Source organism: Homo sapiens, chromosome 20 (assembly GCF_000001405.40).
Source record: "Homo sapiens chromosome 20, GRCh38.p14 Primary Assembly".
Classification (NCBI taxonomy): Eukaryota; Metazoa; Chordata; class Mammalia; order Primates; family Hominidae; genus Homo; species Homo sapiens.
Window position 1 is genome coordinate 39213552 of NC_000020.11, and position 24501 is coordinate 39238052.

General features: G+C 43.6%; 2 long non-coding RNA genes across 2 annotated transcripts in view; one reads left to right on the forward strand and one right to left on the reverse strand.

The window, feature by feature from the left end:
- LOC107985448 (uncharacterized) overlaps positions 1-6487 on the forward strand; it is a 90007-nt gene extending 83520 nt beyond the window's left edge. Inside the window, exon 3 of the long non-coding RNA XR_001754587.1 lies at positions 6036-6487. This is a non-coding gene — a long non-coding RNA (uncharacterized LOC107985448). The remainder of the gene's footprint in view (positions 1-6035) is intronic.
- LINC01734 (long intergenic non-protein coding RNA 1734) lies at positions 230-11197 on the reverse strand. The gene is made up of 4 exons (NR_027124.1): positions 11004-11197; positions 2396-2561; positions 1996-2111; positions 230-1267 (listed from the first exon to the last, which is right to left on the reverse strand). It is a non-coding gene; the product is annotated as a long intergenic non-protein coding RNA 1734 (long non-coding RNA).
- Between the last annotated feature and the right edge of the window lie 13304 nt (positions 11198-24501).

Genomic DNA, 24501 nt, shown 5'->3' on the forward strand with positions numbered 1-24501 from the left:
TGAGGGAAATAGTGAACTGTAGCAATCATTTTCAAATGTGTTCTTGCAACTGGCAGCATCAGCAGTACCTCCGCTCTATGGAATCAGAGTATTGAGGGATAGAGCCCAGGAACTGGCACAATTAAAAAATGCCCCAGGTGATTTTGACACTCAGCCAAGTTTGGAAGCCACTGAATTCAGCTAATTACATTCTACTATCAGTAAATACATTAGAAACATTAGTAATTTCAATCAAACATGAATTTCACTGTTTTCCTCCCCAAATCTAATAAGAGCATCAATCTTTGATCTTTCAAATAGGTCTCCGTTTCTTCTCACTATTCTGTTGAACTTGGGCAGCCTTTTTTATGTGGTCCCCATCAGAGCTGTCCTTTATCAAGTTGCATTTTGCTCTCAGGACTGACAGCATCTGGACATTAAATTAAAAATTACTTAGACATACTATTGGTGATAATGTTGGGCACTTTGTGACTCACCTCATACTGTCGTCCTTAGGAAAACTGTGGCTAGTCCAGACCAGGCATAGGTCTTCTTGTGGAGGGCATAGATCAGAAAGCATTAGAGATAGAGGAAGGTGTTAGCTAGTGTTCTGTATACAAAGGAGCCTGTAGGACACAGTGTTAAGCAAAATGATCCAGCTTCCTTTTCTTCAGGACTTCTCAGAGCCTTGAATATAGTAGTGGACACTGACTATCCTAAAGTGCAAATGAACTATAACTGCAAGTAGCCCAGTCTGGACAAGGAGGGAGGCCTTCCAAAGGACACAGTTTCTAGGTGGTTAGTTTTGGACATCCTGATATATCTTGTCAGGGGCAGCAGCAAAGCTTTGGGGCAGCCTTCCTGAAGATCTGAGCTGAGGAAGGGTCAACGTGGAGAAGTGGGTGTGAAGGGGGGAAGGTTGTTGGACATTGAGATCTATCCATTGATCTATTTTGATCAATGTCTGTCAATATCCTTATGTCCTGACTACCTGGTTCACCCTCTGGCTCTGAAAAGAACCACTTTGGTTTCTGATGTTCTGGAGGCCCACCAGACCCTCTAATGACCTGAGCACTGGGTCTGTCTTCCTGGCACCCATCACCAGTGTCACATATATGTCCCAGCCACACCATCCATCATGTCAAATTGTATGTACAACTGTCTTCTCCATTATGAGCTACTGAAGGCAGGTCTTGTGTCTTTTTCTTCTGTCGCCTCCTAGCATAGCACCAGGCACACTAGTTGTGTTGATTAGTGTTTGTCAGTTCCATAAGGCCACCAGGATGCTCTGTTTTGTAGGAAAGGAAGAGAGGCAGCAGGAAAGCAGGCAAGGCAGCTTATACACTCTCAGGGATTGGAAGGAATCAGGAGAGGGCTCCAAGCCCCTGGGGCTGCACAGCCCATTTCTCTGCAGATTGCCACCACTAGAGAGCACAGTGCACCTAGGAACAGGGTCTGCCGAGTGTCTGGCTCTGGCCCAGCCCAGCTCTGCTCAGCCCCCCACCCCTCCTGGCAACACTGCAATGGGAAGCAGGATTTGGATGAGGCTCAGCCCTGCCTCAGACACTTTGCAATCTTAGGCCTAATTAAAACACCACAGATGGTTTGAACCCCGCATTAAAATTTGATGAGGAATTGATCAGCCAAGCAAACAGGAAATTTAGCTGTGAGTGAAGGTAATGTTTGCTCAAATGTGTAATGAGGCCCACGGGGAATATTTGTGGGGACCTCCGTCATGTCTGGAGTGGCTCCTGCTCTTCAATTTCATTTTCCCTATTTGCCTTTCCCCTCAAAACATCCCAAGATGCTTCCAGAGGGGAAAGGCAACACAGGGAAAGTTTTAGTTTCATAAGAATTTCCTTTGAAAACCCAAGGAAATCTAAAATCCTCAACTATGTACTGGAAAAATAGCACAGGAAAGGGCCAGACTTGGGTGGGAGTCCTGGCTCTGCCATTTGGCAGTTGGCATCCTTAGGTTGCAATATCTAATTTTATGATTAGTCACTGAGTACCTACTATGTGGCAGCCAGGGGTTAGATCCTGGGGATAGACGGCTGTGCAGAACTGTCTTGGTTCCTGCCTCCATGGGTAAACAGCTGAGTAAGAGAGGCTATGAGTCTCAATTTTCTTATCTGTAAAGTGGGAATATTTGTATGTTATCATAGGGGGTTGTTGGATGAATTAAATGAGAACGTGTATGCAAAACGCAGAGAACAGGGCTGGAATACATGTGTCAAATGAAGGTTCCTCCATGTCCTTCTTCCCCATAACCTGCATCTAAAGTCTATACAAGGCTTTTCAGCTTTCCTTCTACTTAATGTCTCTGAAAGTGACCTAATATGATATTCACTCACTTATATGTTCACCACTGGTGGGTGTAACTGAGGCCAAGGACACAGCAAGTCACAAGACTAACCTATTTACCAGATTGGAATTGGATCAGAAGTTCTCTTAGAAAGAGATGAAATAGCAAGCATTCTTGGGTCATCTGGGATGAGAGGAGTCTGATTTGAGAACGTTGCTCCGAGGATTAGGGAGAAACATCAGAAGCTTAACGTTTCCTTTAGACACATCCGTGATACCTTAAGTGGGAGAAGAGAGGAATATGGAGAGATTTTCCTTCCTTTCACACATCCACGAAGATACTTTACCCTAATAGTAATGATGTGTATGTTGTGTGCTCAGCTTTCCCTTCCTCTTCATCATCCCGACTCCCAACCCAATGCCCACCCATTGCCATTCCTATCCTTATCCCCGATTCCATCCCCACACCCATCCTCATGCCCACGGTTACCCATTCCTATTCTTATCCCCACTCTCATTCCCACACTCATCCTAATGCCCACTGTCACCTATTCCCATTCCTATTCTTATCCCCACTCCCATTCCCACTCCCATCCTAATGCCTACTGTCATCCATTCCTGTTCCTATTCTTATCTCCCATTCCCATGGCCATCCCAATGGCTACTGTCACTCATTTCTGTTCCTATTCTTATCCCCACACCCATCCCAATGCTACTTATCCATGACCATTTCTTTACTCACCTCTACTCCTCCCCATCAATTTTCTTCCCTGTTACCAACATCATTAATATTATCACCAGAATCTTTATCACAAAATATCCCCGTCACTGGTTTGGTAGGTGCAACCAGATTTGATTTCCCTTTCTTCTACTCATAGGATCTTACATAAGTTGATCATGTTTGTTAAATTTCTAGGATAACCCCCTTCCTTAATTCCAAGATGCATGCTTCCCTGTCTCACATGTTTTAATGTCTTTGAATTCAGAAGGTACCTCACAAAAAAATGCCAAAAGACAATTTCTAGCCACAGGTAGAAGAATGAGCTGTGACAGTGTTGTTATTGCTTTGACATTGCAATAGACTGCTGAAGTTTCAAAGATGGGAGAGCCTGGGTGACCAATTTTTATGTCCTGGAGAACCACCACTCAGATATTTACATAAGGTCTAAGGAAAGCAATGGCTGATTTCCAAGTGTCCGAGTTTCATTAATAGGGAATTTCAAAACAAGGGAAAAAACAAAAGCTTGAGTTTAATCAAATAGGAAATGAGGACAAAACCTTGGTTTTCTTCAATATGTTTCAGATGATGATGTTACTTCTAAAGTTCTTAAAATACAGAGCTTAGAATTAGGAAAAACAACATGGCACCCTGATACTAAGGGTAACTGCTCTTTGAGCACTGAGTAATTGAGTAATTTTCAATGACTTTGCTACTATGGATTGAATATTTTTCACTTATAAAAGTCAGTGAAAGTCTGGGAAAGTATAGATTTATATACATTTATTTTGTATCTTGTCATCTAATGAGATATAATAAATTCATTAGTTTATCAAATTCTTGTATTATGTTTTCTAAATTTACAGTAATAACATTTGCAAATGATACCTGTTTTGATTCTTTATTTTCAGTAGTTAACCACTTATTTCTGCCTCCTACTTTATAGGCCAGAGCTTCCATCAGAATCAGTGTATTCAGATTTCCTAATATTATTTAATTAATTTTGGTCATTATAACATTGTGATTTTTCTAGGAAATTACAGGTTTTTTTTTAAATCAAGACCATTGGTATATAGCTGTGCAGTATTTTCTGTATTAATTAAAAATTTCCCTCATATTTACTTTCATATCCCTTTATCCATTTTTAAATTTATGTAACCCAAATGTTACAGTCTCATGAGGTCAGAGTCTCATTAAGAAAAAATCCTGCATTTTGAAGGTTCTGAGTTTCCATCTGACTGGGTCCATGTATCAGTCCTCCTTATTTCTTGCCGCTAACATCATGCAGGTGTAAGTTCTATTAATTTTATAATCCCACTTCTTAAGGGTAACCACAACAAACATTTTGGAGTAGAAAACATCAGTCCTTTTTCTATACATACACAATATGTGTAAATATAATTTCATTTCTTACACAGTGGGGTCATATTATATATTGTTCTGTAACCTGTTTTTTAATGTATCCCAAAATATGTTCTTTATTGACTTCATAATATTCCACAATATGGGTGAACCATATGCTATTTACTAATTTCTTTGTTGTTTCCTAGTCAGGTTGATCCATTTGTTTGCCACCGTAAGTCATATTATGATGAACACATTTGTGAATAAATATTTGTTCACATTTCTAATTATTTCCTTAGGATAAAATTGTTAAGTAGGCATGAATAATTTTTCAGCATCCTTGATACAGATTGCCAAATTACCCTTTAGGAATTTGTACTAATTTATACTCCCACTTGCAATCGATGAGTGCCTAGATTGCTCAACTGTCACCAACATTGAGTTTCTTTAATCTTTGCAAATTTAATAGATTACAAATGAAATCACATTGCTGTCTTAATTAGCATTTATTTGATTATTAGTAGGATGAACCTTTTAAATCTTTGTAATTTATGGTTCTTCTCCTCCTTTTTTGAGACAGGGTCTGGCTGTGTTGTCCAGGCTGGAGTGCAGTAGCTATTCACAGGTGTAATCATAGCGTACTGCAGCCTTGAACTCCTGGGCCCAAGTGATCCTCCCACCTCAGCTTCCCAAGTAGCTGGGATTATAGGTGCATGCCACTGCTCCTGGTTATCATTCCTCTTACATGAACTTTCTCTGTCTGTCCGTGGATCATGTTTCCCTAACTCAGCGTTTGTTTTCTTACTGCTTTTAAGAGTGATCTAACCCGTAACCTTAAGGATATTAACTCTTCATCATACATGTTGGAATTTTTTTTTTCTCAGTATGTTGTTGAATTTTTAATTTTTATAGTTAGGTTTATCAATATTTTTTGAAATTTATTTCTTCGCTTCTATTCTTAGTGAATTCTGTGATTAGATCAATATTGATTTCAGTTTTCTCCCAGAGGCTGAGCTGAGTTTTTGGTGGGTTTGGCACAGAGCTCCTTACCCTAACCTCAATAGCAGAACAGGCCTCCTTTATTGGGAGAGGGAATCCTCTTTGAATGAGACTGCAGCTTTGGGAAGGAGGAAAATGGAGCAGCTATGAAAGATGGTTTGCTGTCCAGCTCATAAAGTCATCTGGCTCAGCCTGGTGATCTTGGGGTGGCATGCATCACATTCTCAGCCCCGTCTGTCTGAGCTTCTGTTTCCTTCTTTCATGTAAATCATTAATCTAAGATTTAGTTCAGTGCATATTTGAGATGAGGCTCTAACAACATATACAATATACAACAATATATATCAACAACAATATGTATTATTAAATACATATATGTCATCTCCCTGAAGCCCTACAAGAGCCTAATGAGATAGATGGTGATATAATTTATAGAATAGGAAACTGAAGTTCAGGGGGGCCAGGCATTTTACTCAAGAACTCTGCCTTTGACATTGACCCAAATACTCTGCCTTGGTTAGTCCACTGGATGCAGTTGCAGTAAAGAGCTGGGAAGCTCCAAATCCCACCTACTTGATTGTGGAAAGGTCAGTCTCTTCCATGCTTCTGCTTTCCAAATGGCTTGGGGGATTTCTAGAGAAGCTTCCATGTGTTCATAAATCAGTCCTGTTGTCATTCTCTCCTTTTCCAGATAAACCTGGGATGACTACGCCACACCCTGACATTACAGCATCTTGTTTTATCTCCCTGAGAGTGCTACCAGCAATGCCACCTCCAAGTGTAGCTGTTTCAGGTGTGGACCCTAACACTGGATTCGTGTACCCAGCTCTGATGCTGTCATCCCTCTTGTGGAGTGAGTAAAAGGACTTTCCTTTGTTATGGGATGCTGGATGCTGTATGCTGTGGTTAGTTGCACTGGGACTTTGTAATTTGAAGGCTCTGTTGCAGCTGTGTGTTCCTAGTGGTTTCAAGGTGCATCTCCTTTAACTATCCAGGCAATAATGGTTCCAAGAGGTGACAAGGACAAAGAACACTTCCTCCTTCTGATTTATGCTCATTTGATGAATGTCTCATTGCAAAACCGTCCAGGCTCCAAAAATATTTTCCAGTTCTTATTCTTAGATTTTAAAACTTTTTCAGTGGTCTCCCTCCCTTCCTACTTCCTACCTCCCTTCCGCTCTCCCTACTTCCTTATCCCTCCCCGCCCCCACACAGCTTCCCACCCCAAATGCTCATATTGCAAATATGCAAATAACAATTAAGATTCCGGGTTATAAAAACAGAAAGAAACTTCACTGCATTTAGGTGAAAGGAAATCTGTTGGCAGGATGTTCGGGATCTCAGAATTGTTAGGCATCATGGACCAGGCTAGCTAAGAGCTCTGTAGATATATGAATCGGGACTCCCAGCAATTGTTTTATGGAAAGAAGGATCTGGTTGGGGCCCCTGTGCTATGCAGCAATGAATGGACTCTAGCCATTTCTTTCCACCTCTTCCTTTTTCTCCCTAGATTAGAAGTCCCCATGGAGAGTGTAAGCCTTCTAACCTTCCTCCACAAGCCTGCCCCTACTCCTGACTGTACTGGGCTAGAAGGAGGAGGATCATTTCTCTTTGGTGTCCCAAAGTTGAAGTGGTCACCTCTAATAACCCTCCCACCAAAGATATGCACAATGAAGAGAGGCAGTTTTCTTAGAGGAAACTAAAGAGAAGTAATAAACACTGGGTAGCAGCTGCTGCTTCCACTTGCCTTGGAGAGTCTCTAAACCACTGACCTCTTAAATCTTTGCTGAGAAGTGGAACAAAACCATGGTGGGGATCCTTGGTGGAAAATCATCTATTGCCCAACCAATTGGGCTGGAAGGGGAAGTTTAGGTCAAGTGGAAGGCTGGAATTAGCCTCATCCATCTACATGGAGGCAGACTCCCTTCATCCCTTAGGCATTCAAGGCTGTGTTGGCCTCTTTATTTTTGTGTCTCTTCCTTCTCAGCGTTTGTTCTCCAGATCATGATTCCTCCCTGCCCCCTGGCTTTATTCCAGTTCACCCTAGTCTATCATACATTTAAAAAAATATCCTTGAACCTCAAGGAGGATTAGAGTTCTGTTTTTATTTTATAGGAGGGTAGGGTCTTAGTTCACATCCTTCTGAGAGGAGGAGTTGGATGCAAGCTCATTTGTTTATCTGGAGGATGATCCCAGAAAATGGAGAAGTAGGGAAAGAAGAACAGGGGAGGAGAAAAGCCAAACAAGCCAAACAAGTGGCATGCTGGTGAGTGTAAGATTATAGCTGTGGGCCACTTGGGGTCAATTCTGCTGGGGACCCACTGAAATAGTGTGTGGTATACACTGTAAAGTCTTCCCACTGGAGGGGGGAGGCTGGGACATCTATCCACTGATTCCTCTACCCCATCATTTGGAGATTGCTTCTGGGGACATTTGTGCTTGCAGCAGGTCAACACACTCAAGGAGTGATAGATAAAGCCCTTAGGCAGAGAAGAAAGACGTAGGAAGAGGCATTAGAGGTGGGAAGTGCCAGTGTCCTGGAAATGTTTCCATCTGCCACTGCAGGTAACCCAGGTGGGCCAAGGGGATATTAGGCAGGATGTCAAGAGCATCTGCTACAGAGCAGGCTCTTCATCTACTATGCAAATTAGTGGATTCATCTCTGCAAGAGGCTAAGTACTGTTACAAGAAATTGATGGAAGACCCCAACGTCTTATCAGTTTTCCACATCCAATGGGCTCTGTCTACTCTACCTTGTCCCTTTTTATTACTTTGTGTCAAAATTATTGTCAGAAATTAAGGTCATAAATAGGTAGCTTAAAAAGTTTACGTTCACATCTATTCCTGGGATCACACATATTTCGTGTACTTCTCACTCAGTTCTTTAATTTCTACCAGATTAATACATTGCCATAAAAGCAGCTTCCAAGTGCAGTAATAATCACAATAATCACTGTAAAATGTAATAGATAATTATATTGATGAAGAATTATATTTAGCCATATGCCAATATAAGAATACTTATTGATTCATGTCTATCATTGTTATCTTCTCTCTAGCCTTTAGGCTATAGTTACCTGTCAGGATTAGTAGTGAGAAGTCTTTGGATGGATTTGGAAGGTTTGTCTGAGCCCTGGCAATGGGTAGGGTACAGATGACTAATGTGAATGGTCTCTAGTTTTGTTCTCTCTACAAATGAGCTATGGGACCTCAATAGGAACTGCACAACTTGCTTTGGAAATTGTCTGACTTGCACTGGTATTTTTGGATGACAGTTTTCCCACTGTTGATATGCCTTTCTCTTTACCAGCCTTTGTTGATTAGAACCATGCAGCAAGAAAACTCATGCATCACTGGAATGCTCCAGTAGAGAGCATTCAGCATTGTGGGTTGGCTAATTGGTTGGGCAATAGTTGATTTTCCACCAAGAATCCCTGCCGTGGTTTTGTTCCACTTCTCAGCAAAGATTTAAGAGGTCAGTAGTTTAGAGACTTCTCCAAGGCATTGTTACTTTGACAAGATGTACCAGGGTAATTGATTAGTTTGCACTTGATATTGCCATAAATAATTACAACAAAGCTATCCTTATCAAAACAAATGAACCAAGCAGTATGTCTGTTTTGCTGAACCCCATGTTCAAAGGGATTAGAAAGATTTAGAAATTAACCAAATCTGTCTTTGAGACACTGCCCCTGAATGAGAGACAGAGTATTGATTAACATCCTGGAGGAAATGACATTGTAAACAGCTCTGGTTTAATGAAACATGGTAGGGAAGTAGGGTAGCAAGACAGGGCTAGAATTCTGACCCTCCACTTACAAATATGCCCTTAGGTAAGATTTTTGCTTGGCTTTCTGTTACCCCATTGATGAGATAGGATAAAAATATGAATCCTTCAGGAGTATCATAAACATGAAGTGAAAGAATGTATGAGCAAACACTTTGTAAATTCAATAATGGCATGTAGATGTTACATGCTCTTGCTGTTAAATACGATATATAGCCCACTTCTTTCTACCCCTTTCCTGGTTTCTCTCTGAGGCAGAGATTCTCAGCCTCAGCACTATTGACATTTGGAGCTGGATAACTCTTTGTTGTAGAGAGCTGTCCTGTGTATTGTAGAATGTTTGGCAGCATCCCTGGTCTTTACCCACTAGATTCCAGTAACAGCCTCCTGGTCATGACCACTGAAAATATCCCTAGATGTTGTCATATGTTCATGGGGGCAAAATAGACCTTGATTGAGGACCACTGCTCTGAGTGTAGAGAAGTTGATGAACATTTCCTGGAAATTCTTTGGACCTTGCCTCTTTACTAGGGGTGGCATCCCTGTATGTTAAAAATGCTCACAGTCATTCTTTGCAAAAATTAATTCCAGGAGCCGGGGTGGATATATCAGCTCAGCCTAAGTTCCACTGTGGTAACAAACACTGCCCAAATCTCAGTGGCTATGTAACCCTCTCCTAAGAAGAGTCAGCCCAGGTCACATAGCCAAATCCACCCTAAGTGGGATGGAAGACATAGAATTTTTCCCTGCAAAAGATAGTGAATATTTTGAAGAATAATACAATCTACTACCAGGAGTTAGTTGGTAGAACACAGGTCCTTTGTAGTCTACAGATATTGCCATTTTTCTCACACATTTTCCTGGACTGACTTTTTCCAGGTACCAGCCAGTTACTTCTTCCAGGTACTTTAGGCCCCAGCTACCAGCTGGCAGGGGCTCAGTCTCCATGCCTTGGGTCTCTTGGACTTCTCTTCTGACCTGACCAAAGCTCCATGTTGGGGTATTAGGCACATGTGCAGCTGATCATCAAGGGACCGCTTTGATTCTCCTTTGCTTTTGCACACATTTATGGCTCATGTAGAAACTTCTCAGAAAGAGCCTTCTAAGGGTTTCAGGCACAGAGGTGGCTAAATAGATCTGCAATCTGTAAAGATGTTGCAGCATGCTTGGTTGAAAAGTCAAGCAGTCAGTTAGTCATTTACTTGGAGTGTTAATATAATGACAGTCACTTGGTTGAGCTGATTTTGTCACTTAACTGCTGGAGACTGTCTACTGCTTAACTAACCAGCATAACCTTCCTCCCTGGTGACACAGCTGGAGTGTGTCAGAAATCCTATCACTTCAGTAGTGGGACTATGGAAATGAATCTTATAGTGGGGCTGAAGGTCACAATGGATGACAACGAAGGGTTTCTAAACCTGGATGCATAGGCTAAACTGGTCTGTTCGTGACATGGTGTTGCCCAGTTATTGAGGCAAATGCAATCACATTTTACCATTTATAAAACACTTTCATATCTACAGTCTTCCCTGAAAGTGCTTCTTGCTCTTTTATCCACCTGGAAAACTCCTATTCACCCTTTAAGAGCCCTCTTAGATGTAGCCTTCCCTGATGGCACTCTCCTCTCCATCATTATACAGTTGTTTGCTCCATCCTCTGTGCTGTCACAATAGTATCCTCCTCCTTCTGGTCTGTGAAGTTGCCAGGCAAAGGAGATTGCTCTGCTGGTCCTTGTATCCCAGGAACTCACCATTGCTCCTGGCGTTGGAAATACATGCAGGAACATGGCTGGTTTACTAGACAGTTTACCCAAATTTTTACCATGACTCTGTACGCCATTAAAAAAAGAGAGATTTAGAAAGATTTACTCACCTGCCTCAAGTCTCACAGCTGCCAATTAACTCTTTGTTGTAGAGAGCTGTCTGGTGGTTGGTGGAATTTAGCAGTCTCAGGACACTTGGCTTCCCTTTTGTTTTCCAGTAAAATTTGAGTCTTCTGGGCACTGATTTTAGATTGGTACAAGAGACAGTGATTGGATGCAGTTTTAGCTGTTCTAAAGAACTGAGTGATATAACTTTGTGGCCCAGGGCTTACTTTATTATGTCAGAAAGACGTGAGTTTGAATCCCAGCCCCTCCACTTACTAGCTGTGTGGCTTTAGGTGAGTTACTTAACCTTTCTGTGTCTCAGTTTCTTCATTTCTAAAATTGGAATCACAATAATGCCTATCTAATGAGATTATTTTTAAGGATTACATGAAATAGCATATTTAAGTGGTTTTAGCATTTTTGCCGGTTATGTAGTACACACTGAATAATTCCTAGTTTTTAATACTGTTTTTATTTCTATTTCTCAAACAGTATATTCTGTTTTATGTTGATGTATTGGATCCTTCCTTCTTTCCTTTGGTAAACTTTGTTGCATGTCTTCTTTGCCATGTATTGATGTCAGAAAGAATCCTTAAAATGACAATACCCAATTGCATGATTAATACCACTTCTTGAGTGCTTGGTTCATTTGAGCCCAACATCCATTGATCAAAATCAATAATCAATGACAGGCATTATTTCATTTAATCTTCATCACAACGTTATTAGGTAGACCTCATTTCTTCCCATTATATGGAGGAGAATACTGAGACTCAGAGTAATTAGCTGAGGGTTTAAGGGAAGAATGGATTGAAGCTGGGTGTGCTCAGACACCTGCGGAGGGAGCAGAGGAGTCCAGCAGTGTGTTGAGCCTTGGTCCTGTCCTGGCCCTGTGGTCTGTAAGAAGGAAGAAAGCCACCTCCATGGGTGCCAGTAGCTGCTTTCTTGACACTTTTTTTGCTGCTGAAGGAAAAGTACCAGATACTCTCCCCAGCTGACTCTCCAGGGTCAGTGGAGATTCTTGAGGGTCAGTGGACCAAAACGGACCTCCAGGGTCAGGGTCATTATTGAGGGTCCGTGGACCAAGGTCAAGAGGCCTTGGGAGTTGTTCTGCAGGGTGTGGCATGGTTCCTGCCCACCAGTTCCCTTCTGGGAAAGGAGAGGGCAATTCTGAGGAACAAAGAAGTTCAGAAGCCACCAGAGGGAGCAGAATCCTGTTCTGCCTCCTTGATCTACCAGAGAACTGATCACTAATTAACAAAGCCCAGCATCAGATTCTCTTCACGCTGCCAAAGCACAAGCAAAAACTTAAAAATTCCCTCTGTCATCCACATGGGACTGTCCAATACATAAATAAGGCAGAGACTCGTTTTGAGTGTCTGCGATGTGCACCTTCCTGACCCAATTCCATGAATTCTCTCAATAACGCTAAAAGGTGGGAAATAGTCATGTCCCCACTGCACAGATTCAACAGTATATTCATTCATGCATCAAGCATGTTTTCAGTGATTCTATGTGCCAGACATGTGCTGGGCACTGGAATACAAAGGTGAACAAGACAGCTGGGGCTTGGGGCTTAGAGAGGTGAGGTCACTTGCCAAGTCACAGAGCTAAGTAAGCAGTGGAGCTGGGATGTGTCCATCCCCTGCAGAGTCTGAGCGCCCACCTGTTATGCAGAAGTAGTAGTCTGGCTGAGATCCCTGGGCTTTCTTCACCTCAGTTTCCACATGCAGATACCAGCAGTAAGTCATATGTGGTATGCTTGCCTTCAGCACACATTTCCTCAGTGGCCACCTGGGCACAGACCCTACCCAGAAGGAGTTTATGCTCTAGCAAAAGAGGCGGGCATGTACAGAGTTGGTCAGCCATGTGCCAAGGCAGATTGTGATAAAATCAAGAGCTGAGAATAGAGTATTAACTCTCACTGGGGTACATGTCTTTAGAGGCCAAGTGACAAGCCTGAGGCTTCTGGTGAGGTTTGGGCAGGCTGATGACCTGAATTCAGCTTTTCTAGCGCGGGTGGAGGTATTTCTGTTTCTTGGTTTTGCAAATACGAAAAGACCACTGGGTGTCTATAATTTCCACTTGTTTCAAGAGAGGTCACTGCATACCTGATTTTAAAAATGCCTTCTGAGTTTCTGCCAGTGCGAGTGAATGCTCAGCTGGTAAACAGCCCCAATGCTGGATGAGGGCATAGAGTCCCCTGGGTCCTGCTGTGCAGGCCATGGTCAGGATTACAAACAGAAGCCCTTCATTACCAGGCATATCTTAGCTTGTCCTGTATAGTCTTCTTTCTCTGGTGAGTCACTTAAACTAGCACTTTTCATACTTCACTGTGCATAAATCACCTGGGATCTTGTTAAAATGCAGATTCTGATCCAGTCAGTTTGGGACGGAGCCTGCTAACAAGCTCTCAAGTGATATGATGCCGATTGTTCATGGACCACACTTTGCGTTGCAAGGATGTAGGCCAGTATCTCCAAACTGGTTTACATAGAACTTTAGTGTTCAGTAAGGTGTTTGTTTTGCCATGTTAAATAAGTTTGGGAAATATTAGGTTAAACAAAGTTAAATGAGCTTTTGCACTGCAGGACTTCTCAGAACTTTTAACATGTTACTGTGCACCTGTCTCTCCAAGACTTGGATTGAGTATACAGTTTCCCAGATTTTACCAGGAAAACCCCCATTCTTGCCCAAGTCCCTCCCAAGAGTAGCCATTTAGTTGTGTGTTTTGGAACACAGCTCAGACATCACTGCTCTGGACTTTCTCATTCTGGAAGCTTTTTGCTCTCCACGCCAATGTATTTTCTTCCATGCTTCATCTTCCTCCAGTCTCTGCATATGTTTCCTTTCTTAGCCTGGAGATAATTCATTAAAGCAGCTCTCCCACTCCCTGCCTCCCTCTTCAGATACACCTTTCCACCTCCTAACACCGTGACTAAAAAACACCATCAATATTTCATAAACTCACAGTGACAAATTTATTTTAATGTGGTCCACCGAGAGCCAGAGATTGATTGGTCCCTCAGAAGCGTGACACGTTTCAAAGCAGGATATTCATGGTGTGTTTTAGTGCCTACATTAGTCAGAGAGGAGCGGAGCCCGGATTTATCATCGTTATGACTTTCTTGGTATCTATTCTCTTCTAGCCACTGGCAGCAACTCTCTGAATGCTCCCTATTGATTGGTTTTGTGTCTTTAAAATGTGCTGGCTGGGGAGGAGAGGGGGGACTTGGGTCTCTATGAAATTGAGCCTAGCTTGCTGGAGTTTCTGCATATTGGGAGCTTGTGTTTGGGTGAAGCCAACTCTAATTCTCTTGGTTTTCACTCATGAGGGCATTGGAAAAAGGGGCTAATCTCCTTGATTTCTGGAGAGTATTAGTGATTGGAAAATGGGACAAATGTGTACGGGGACTGTTTTGCCAGCTGTCACTTTGCAAGCCTGCCCCACTGGCTGAGCAGGTCATAGTAAGTCCTTGACATCCGGGTCCTGAGGCTTGACAGTCTGATGAGGTTTTATTTTGTTGTTGTTGTTGTTTCCCCCCTCCCCCTACCCCCAACCTTTCAGGACAGGTACAGAGTAGGGTCAAAATTGTTCTTAAATTTAGAAAATCTCTTCCTCTCACAGATTAAATAATAATGATAATGGCAAGTGACCTTTATTGAGCACTTACAATGTGCCCAGTACAGTGGGACATGCATTACAGACATAATTTCTTTTCATAATAATCCTAGGAGGAAGAAATTATTATTTCCATTTTACAGATGAGAAAACTGAGGGTTAGAGAGTTAAGTGGCTGGCCCAAAGCCCTGCAGCTGGTATGTGGTTTAGTGAAAACTAAAGCCCAGGTCGAGCCAACTTTACATGCTAGCTCTTAATCCATAGGCCTGACTGCCTAAGTGAAGCAGCCCAGAGAACCTGCTGTTGCCTAACTGATAAGCTATAATTAATATGTTCTTACTTATTCATCCTTACTGATTCAGAAGGTAAGGTCTTTCTTCAGCAATACTCTTGGGCTAATTTGAGTTTCTATCTGACTTTCTAAGTTAAATAAGCTATTGCTCTTTTTCTTTTTCTTTTTATTTATTTATTTATTTTTTTGAGACAGAGTCTCACTCTGTTGCCCAGGCTGGAGTGAAGTGGCACGATCTTGGCTCACTGCAAGCTCTGCCTCCCGGGTTCGCACCATTCTCCCTCCTCAGCCTCCCGAGTAGCTGGGACTACAGGAACCTGCCACCATGCCTGGCTAATTTTGTTTTCGTATTTTTAGTAGAGATGGAGTTTCACCGTATTAGCCAGAGTGGTCTTGGTCTCCTGACCCTTGTGATCCTCCCGCCTTGGCTTCCCAAAGTGTTGGGATTACAGGCATGAGCCACTGCGTCCGGCTGCTATTGCTCTTTTAAATTACCCCAGTTTCTCATTAATTGAGATCTCCTCAAATTAATATGAACTAATGAGACCCTATCATATTGCCACATCACTAAAAGTTGCATTTAGTCATATGTGGCATGCTTGTCTTCAGCACACATTTCCTCAGTGCCCACCTGGGCACAAGCCCTACCCAGACAGAGTTTATGCTCTAGCAAAAGAGACAGGCATGTACACAGCTGGCCAGCCACACACCAAGGCAGATTGGGATAAGACTGAGGGGCACTGTGTAATTGGAGAGCTAAGGAAAGAGCAGTTAACTCTCACTGGGATAAATCTGGGAATATCTTATTGTGAAATATCAATTGTGTGGCGCCTGGAAAAGATGAAAAAAGATTTAAAGAAGCAGAGAGGGTTCTGAGGATGCTCCTCCAGGGAAGTGTCATAAACAGAGATGCAGCGGAAGGGGGAAACATGTTGTGTATGTTAGGGACATATGACTCAGATGACTAGAAAATTTAGACACCCTTTGAGTTCATCCTTCCTTGTATGGATAAACATGATAACACACTTTCTCCCCTCATATGGATAAGGATGCATTAAGCAAAATGACTGTGAAACAAATCCTAGTTCCACTTGGCCTCCATTAGGAAGTCAAAGATATATATCTGGGAGGGAGAAAAAAAATCCTCCAGCAGATTGAACTGAAGCATATTGAGCAGTTGAGGCAGCAAGCAGTTAATCCTGGTGACTGTAGACAGCAGCCATCTCTGTGCAGTGGGGTGCGTGGGCCTCTGCTTAGCAGTCACCTTCCCACTGAATCATTTTGAAGGGGTTTTGCCAACTCTAGGGTTTCCCCTGAAATGAAGACCATCCCCTTGCTCTAGACAACAGAATTTCTTTCATACTTAGGCAACTTTTGACTTCTTATTTTCGGGATCCAGAATTTAGCTGCTTCTTTTTGCCAGGACATAACAGAAACACATTGAGAGAGTCGGCTCACTAGGGCTCTGAATTCCTACGATTGTTTTTCATTCTTTCTGTTTCGGAGAAGGGAATGAAGATTAGGGATACCAGCTCCTGTCTTGGAGTTACTGTAAAATCCAGTCATAACCATTTCTAGGAGAGTTTCTCGGTGGTCTGCAGATGACCTGCATCATACACACCAGGGGTATCATATGAGTAAAAATTCCCAGCTTAAGACCTGGGTGTGGGGCCCAGAAATCTGTATTAAACAAAAACCAAACACCAACAAACTAATCAGAGGTCTTAATGGTCAGAGATGCAATGTGTGGTTGGGTAGGTTTGCCCTGTATACCACTGAGGGCTCCATTTACATAATACATAGGCAGCCCCTAGATTTGTGCAGTGCAAAACCTGTGCAACAGCTCATGGCAGCTTTGCATTGCAGAATCACCGTGGTGAGATATTCTGGCATTGGCATGTATCAAGTCCAAATGTTAGCACTTTTTTCTGATTTATTCTGCCTCACCATCTACTGGGCATGTCAGAGATCCCTGGGGCCCAGGGTAGAGCAGCTACAGAGGCCTTATACAAACCTCATTCTTTAAAGGAAGACCCCACCAGAGTGTTCATCTGTAGTAAATTGTCAGGTAGATTGGGGAATTTTGGAAAGATTCTTCATCACCAAATAAAATGTGTTTGCTTCTTTTTTGTTATTTATTTATTTATTGAGACAAAGTCTCTCTCTGTTGCCCAGGCTGGAGTGCAGTGGCGGGATCTCAGCTCACTGCAACCTCCACCTCCTGGGTTCAAGCGATTCGTACTGCTGGACTTGATGCTTGAATTCAGCAGCTCATGGAGGATTTGCACCCTATTTTCTGTCTGTGAAGCTGCTAATAGGCCCAGGATTCCTCAAGACCACGTTCGGAAATGCTGCCCCATCATCCCCTGATAAAGTTGACAAAGCTCAGCCAGAAGCAATTCTGATGCAGAGGAGAGTACACAGGACGAGAAGACCAGTGTTTGGATCATGACCCATCAGTTACTGGCTATGATATCTTGGATACATTATTAAAACTCTTTGGACCTTGGTTTTGCCATCCGTGAAATGGGGACAAGCATTCTCACCTCCTGGGCAGATGGAGAGAATGCAGTGTGCTAACAAATGAAGAGTGACTATCACAGTAAATAGTATTTCCTTCCTTTATTCAAGCATGTGAGGGACTAAAATGTATCAGGCATGTGCTAAACATGGGGAAAATAATGGCAAATGAATTCACAGAGCTGCTATTGTTAGATCACAGGGTTGATTGGAAAGACTGAAAGTGAAGAAGTCAACACATAAATATAGTCCAGAGAGAAATATGTCCCAGGCAGAAAATTAGGGCTGCTTTAAAATGGATTATCAGGGAAAGCTTCTGGGAGGAGGTAGCATTTGATCTGAGACCTGAATGATGACAGTATGTGAAGAAGACAGACAGGCAAAGAGCAGGGGATGAGCATTTCAGATGGAGGGCACAGCTTGTGTGAAGGCCCTGAGGCAAGGGCTAGTATGATGCCCTGGAGAAACGGAAAGACTGCTGCTGTGGCTGGAATACAGAATGAGAGAAGACTAGAGAAGACTGACATGGAACGGAGCATGGGGATCAGGCAAGGGGTTTAGTTGGAAGTAGTTCTTAGTGTAGTTGGAAGTAGGTTCAGAGGTAATGCTACTTTTCCTTTTCCCTTCTGTGGACTCAGCTGCTTGATTCATGCCTTATATCAATTAAGAATGTTTGTAGCAGCCGGGAGTGGTGGCTCATGCCTGTAATCCCAGCACTTTGGGAGGCTGAAGTGAGCAGATCATGAGGTCAGGAAATCGAGACCATCCTAGCCAACATGGTGAAACCCTGTCTCTACTAAAATACGAAAATTAGCCGGGCGTGGTTGGTTGCAGTGAGCAGAAATCACGCCACTACACTCCAGCCTGGCAACAGAGCAAGACTCCGTCTAAAAAAAAAAAAAAAAGAAAAATTTTTTTTTGTAGCTACAAGTAACAGGAAATGTAACAAAGTTGTCTTAAATAAGCAAGGATGTGTTCTTCTCACATAACAATATGTCTAGAGGTATGAAGATGCTGGTCCTGGTTCAGCAGCTCAACAATGTCACATCTCTGGGCTGGCCTCCCTGTGATTCTCTTGGCGTTGCCCTCATGGTCACAAAATAGCTGTCATAGCTTCAATCATCACATCCTTACACCATGGTCAGGGGCAGGAAGCAGGAGCCAGTGTGGGAGCAGACAGTTTCTCTTCAAGTGCCTCTTTTTCATAAGGTCAGAGAAAACTTTCCTTTAGCAGATCTCTTTGAGTCATATTAGAGTGGAATGATATCCTGGGGTCCAAGCATCTCCACCTGATGAAGAATGGGTGGAGTTTTACTGGCAAGAAAAAAGTGCAGGGCTGGTAATCACAGTGATCTCCAAATTCCCCATGTTTTCACCTAGCTCCCTGAGTGAAGGCTACAGAATTTTAAGTTTTGCCTCCAACTAGGAACAGCAGCCCTCAGAGCAAATTTCAGTCTTCTTGGAAGCTCCTATAAGACTTCTTATTTTTCTCTGGCACCACACAGGCCACTTGTCCCTCTTGCTCTTTAGCAAGTTGAAGGCACAGGATTTAATTAAAAGCAAAACTTGACATAAGTGTTTTTAATTGTAATAGAAAAAAGCTGCCTGTTTTATAAAGGTGACAGTTTGCAAACACAAATGTGAACATATTCCTACCTCACTTGGCGGCGGCCCCGTCAGAGAGTGGCAGAGTGGTACAAGGAGATGGATCTGGTGTGAATGACTTGTTCCTGCAGTGAAGGATGCAACCTGAATTCCTCCTGAGGAGTGCCAGCAACACCTGTCATCAGGTCCACTTAGCTAATGAGATCCAAGGGGTAGCCTCTGGTACCACCGTTTCTCTCCAGCCTTCAGACTTGCCTGGAAGAAAGGTGCAGTTCCCTCTCATATTGGAGAACTGGGACATCCATGACACACTGCAGAAGCCAGACTGTCTTTCACTCAGGCCTGAGTTCAGTGGTGATGCAAATCGTTCATTCTGTCCCCAGGATGCTTTCCAACATTCATGTTTTTAAAGGTCAATCTGGGCCGGGCAAGGTGGCTCATGCCTGTAATCCCGGCACTTTGGAAGGCCGAGGCGGGCAGATCACCTGAGGTCAGGAGTTCAAGACCAGACTGGCCAACATGGTGAAACCCTGTCTCTACAAAAATACAAAAATTAGCCGGGCATGATGGCGGGCGCCTGTAATCCCAGCTACTTGGGAGGCTGAGGCAGGAGAATCGCTTGAACCTGGGAGGCAGAGGTTGCAATGAGACGAGATTGTGCCACTGCACTCTAGCCTGGGCGACAGAGCGAGACTCCATCTCAAAAAAATAAAATAAAGGCCAATCTGCTGGCTGGGGAGCTGTATTTGCATTCTTCTCCTGGATGTTGGGTCAGTGTAGATTCAGCTGTGGTGTACTCATGGAGGCCACTGCATCTTCTGGGTAGAAGACTGAGTCTCTTTCAATCTCGTTTTGCAGAGAGATGTCTGGAGTGTAGAAACCTAGGAAACATTCAGCTGCAGAGAATAGAAAGTGACTCAGATAAGTCCAGACAGAAAGAGGATTTACTGAAGACATCTGAGTCTCTCGAAAAAAATCATATGCAGGAGCCATACGTGGGCTTTTCTTGCATCTCTGCTGTATCTCCCTTTCTAGAGATCTGATTGCTTTGCAAGCCTCCCAAATTCTCAGCCTTGTGGACTTCTTTCTCAGTTTTCTGTGTTGATTCTAGCCTAGCCTCCATCTGACCTTGCTATTCAACTGCTCGTTCATTTATTAATTCAATGATTCATTAATTTATCAAATAATCACAGAATTATGTGTATAATCACAAATGGAGACACCTCCTGCAAAGGAAAGGATTATGGTGTTCTACAGCCAAATGCTTCAGTTTTTGTGTCTCAGTTCCCACCATTCTGGGTGGAGAATATGATTGGCCCAGCCTGCAACACCTGGTCCAATCAGCAATGGCCAAGGGGTGATGAGGTCGCACAGGGCCAGGCCTGTGAATGGAGCATATTGTCTAAGCCTGGGTATGGGGTGGGAGGAAACGCTTGAAATCTCTTTTACAGGAAGAGCTTCAGATGAGATATCCACAGAGTTACCTTGGATGGAATCTGATCCACTTCAGGCTTAGTTCTCAGAAAAGCATCACTAATTATACGGACGAACAGGCTCAGGGGTTTGCATTCTAGATGTTTGGTTTGATTCTGACTGGCTGCAAATGACCAGCCTAACTCACTGGATGGAGCATTCTGCGTTCCAAGTGCCAGGTGTGGGCAGGTGTCCAGCTGCAGATGGGCCTCTGCTGACATCCAGGCCACAGGCTGAGTGGCTGTACTGAAGGGAACACCAAGCCTTTGATTCCATAAGGTCCCTCCTTCACTGAAATGAGATGATGGCACAGGTACCTCAGGATGGAAGGCAGTAATAAGCACTGAAACCCAGCTGTACAGCTTTCCCAACATTTCATGCTAAAGCTTTGAGTATAAACTGAGCAGCATGACGAGAACAGGTGTGAAGGAATCTTTCATCTGCTCATTCACCAGGCTTTGATGGAGGATGGACCATGGCTGACCCAGTCCCAGGCATGGAGAGTCTTGAGGAGTTCATGATGACAGCCTTCCCCATCCCACAGTGTTTCCCTCCTTGAAGGAGTTAAGTAATGGTGTGAGGCAGCCCCAGAGTCTAGGCCCACAGCAGTGGAGTCACGTGCTCCTTGCATTCCAGGACTGGCTGCCTGAGGCTGGGACTTGCAGGAAGGCTGTATACAGAGAGCTCAGGGCAATCATTCAGGGTTCTGAGGGTCATGGGAGGCCTGGCCAGGGGTGGGGGGTCCATCGCTAGCAGCCCACGCCTGACTCTTCACTTTACTCCACCCACTTCTGTTCTCTGCAGCCAAGGAGAGGCGGACTTCCTTGTTCTGCCTGGTTTTCCCCACGTGCTACCAGCTAATAGGCTGCAGCTGTATTTCAGAAGAGTTGCCACAAGGAAAACTTAGCCTGTAAGTCAAGCACTTTAGTTCTCCAGGCGTGAAAAACAACACTCTTTATTTCTGGCCATGCCTGGCTTTGTGAGCTGTGTCTAATGGCCTCATAAGGAGATATACCACCGCACTGTCAGAGTGGTCCTGGGATTTCTGTTAGCAGGTGACCCTCTGTCCACAGGTATGGAAAGGGCTGGAGTTGGAGTCTTGGCCTGTGATATGTTTGCCTTGAAATAAATGTCTTAAAAAATCTGTTCAACATTAAACAAAACAAAAGGAAAAACAGGAAACAAAAACAAAACCAAAAATCATTACTGGATTTTTGGGAGCATGAAAAGAAACTGCGTGAAAAGAAACTTCGTGAAAAGAATTTACACAGTGCTTGGCCCCTATTGAGGGCTCAATCAATATTAGTTGTTATTCCTATTGTAATTACATTAATTTTGCTAAACATTTCAGGCACAATGTCACTGTTCTTCCCAGCCCATGTCAGTCTAAATCTCTATTGCTGGCATTTGCCCTGGTCTGTTTTGTTGTTGTCTCATGTAGTAGCCCAGGAATCCTCTGGGATTGGAGACCCCCATCTGTACCCGCCTCCTTGTCCGTATTTGGGGCTTGCTTCCACAGGCAGAATCTGGGATCTGTACCACCATAGAGAAGCTTTGAATATCACCAAAGGTAAAGTCTTGCCTGGCTGGTGCTCAGCTGCCTGGTTAGCCTCAGCTGAAGTTCTAACTCTTCTAGGAAGCATCCCCGAAAAGTATCCTCCTTTCTGCTTCAATCCACTTTTAAAAAGCCCCTGTGTATGGAATATTGTATTTGCCAAAGTGGGCAGCAATAATATTTCCCATTCCATATGCTTTTTTACAATGTGACTTTGTCACTTTTTCCAGTGAGTGGTAGTGTCATCTCTTCTTGAGTCTTAGTGAATCTTTGGCTAACAGACTAGTGTAGATTGATGCTGTGTGGCTTCGGAGGCTGTGCCATTGAAATGCCACGCAGCTTCCACCTTGCTCTCTTGGGATGCTTACTCTGGGAACCAGCCACCATACTGAGAGTGAGCCCAAATTAACTCATCTTGAGAGACCACATGGAGAAGTAACGTGCACTGTTCCAGCTGACTGTCCAGCTGGGGTCCAAACTGACAGTCAGCATCAACTGCCAATCATGTGAATGCAGTACTTCCATACCAGGGTCAGCAAACATTTTTGTAAATGGCTGGATAGCAAATATTTTTGGCTTTGCAGGCCGTACAGTTTCTCTTGCAACTATTTGACTCTGCTGTCATAGGGCAAAAATAGCTATAGACAATATATAAACAGATGGGCATGGCTGGATTCGGCTCACAAACTGTAGTTTGCATCCCATGCTCTAAATGACTCCAAACCCAGCCATTGAGTCACTGTCATCCTCCCAGCCTTCCCTGTTGAGCTTCTGCCTGAATTTCTCATGGACAGATGCCATGAGTTGCTTTCTGCTGTGACGTTTTGAGGTGGTTTGAATGTAGCAATAGCACCTGGATCCCTCCATATCTCTGTTTTATGATTATCAGTTTTATGATTCCTATGCCTATCCTTCTAGTTCTGAGCTTCCCAAAGGTAGGTACTGGCTCTTCCTCCTCTGCCTCCTCTTCAGCAGATCTAGTACTAGAGTGGCAGGTGTCATGTCATGCACTTTACATGGATTGCCATCTTTAGTCTTCCCAACTATTATTACATCTCTATTTTACAAATAAACACAGTGAATCTCTGGGAGGTCAGTGAATTGCCCCAAGTGACTCAGAAACACACACTCCTCAATTCCAGGGCCCAGGATTTTATCCACGATACCATCTAGCCTCAATGTTCATGGCATAAAATAAAGGTGTGGGAGCCTGAGAAACACCCACCCACTCGATTGAAAACAAAATCTGAGTCCAGAGGCCACACATGTTCAATCCCAGCTCCACTCTCCATGCCTTGCAGAGTTCCTGGGCACAGGGGATTGGTATAGTTTGGATGTTTGTCCCCTCCAAATTTCATGTTGAGATGTAATCCTCAGTGTAAGAGGTGAGGTCTGGTGGGGGGTGTTTGGGTCATGCAGGCAGATCCCTCATGGCTTAGTGCTGTTCCTGCAAACTGATCTGGTTGTTTAAAGTGTGTGGCACATCCCCTTGATCTCTGTTGCCCCTGTTTTCACCAAGTGAGTCACCTGCCCCTCTTCTGTCTTCTGTCATAAGTAAAAGCTCCCTGAGGCCTCACCAGAAGCCAAGTAAATGCTGGTGCCATGCTTCCTGTGCAGCCTGCAGAACCGTGAGCCAATTAAACCACTTTTCTTCATAAATTACTCTGTATCAAGTGTCAGATTTTTCTTTACAGCAATGCAAGAATGACAACACAGGGTTGTACAGTAAATTTTGGTTGGGTGAGCAAATAAGTGAGTGACTAGTGCACATCACATTAGGTTCCCCATTTGGTTAATGTCAGGGTCAGGTGGACTAATGTTGGAGCACATTCCCGGGTAGACCATTTACTTCAGTGAATAAGCCTTGTGCAGATATGGTTGGCAGCCTGTCTGTATCCCCTCTGCCTACTCCAGCAGGTGCCTGCAGACAGTTCCATAAATGCCAGTGGCTGTTTCCCTCTGCCTCAGTGCATGCATAGCCCAAGGGAGTGGCTCAGCTTGCAAGTAGAACTGGTCAGAAGGGTGGGATAACAATCCCAGGATCAGCCATCAACCAATGAGGGATGGGAGTTGGTGGGTAAGTACCCCCGCTTTTCACCCTTCCAAAGCACAACTCTGAGGTGTGCTCACAGGAGTCTCACAGAGGAGCCCTTTGGGATGGAGGTGCATTGCTCTTTAACCTCTTAACAAGTTACCTTTCTTCTGTTCTCATCTCAATTTCCAAACCCTCACACTACTTTCTGAAAGCACCTCCCAAAGAAATAACTTGTAGCCAAATCTTAGTCTTCAGATTTGTTTAAAAGCAAACCTAAAGGGTTTCCCTAAGCTAGAACAGATGTGTATTGTACATGGTGTAAAACCTGGTGCACATTCTAGTACACATGTGTACACGACACATCTGCATCAAAGTCTGAGTTAGGCCGGGCGCGGTGGCTC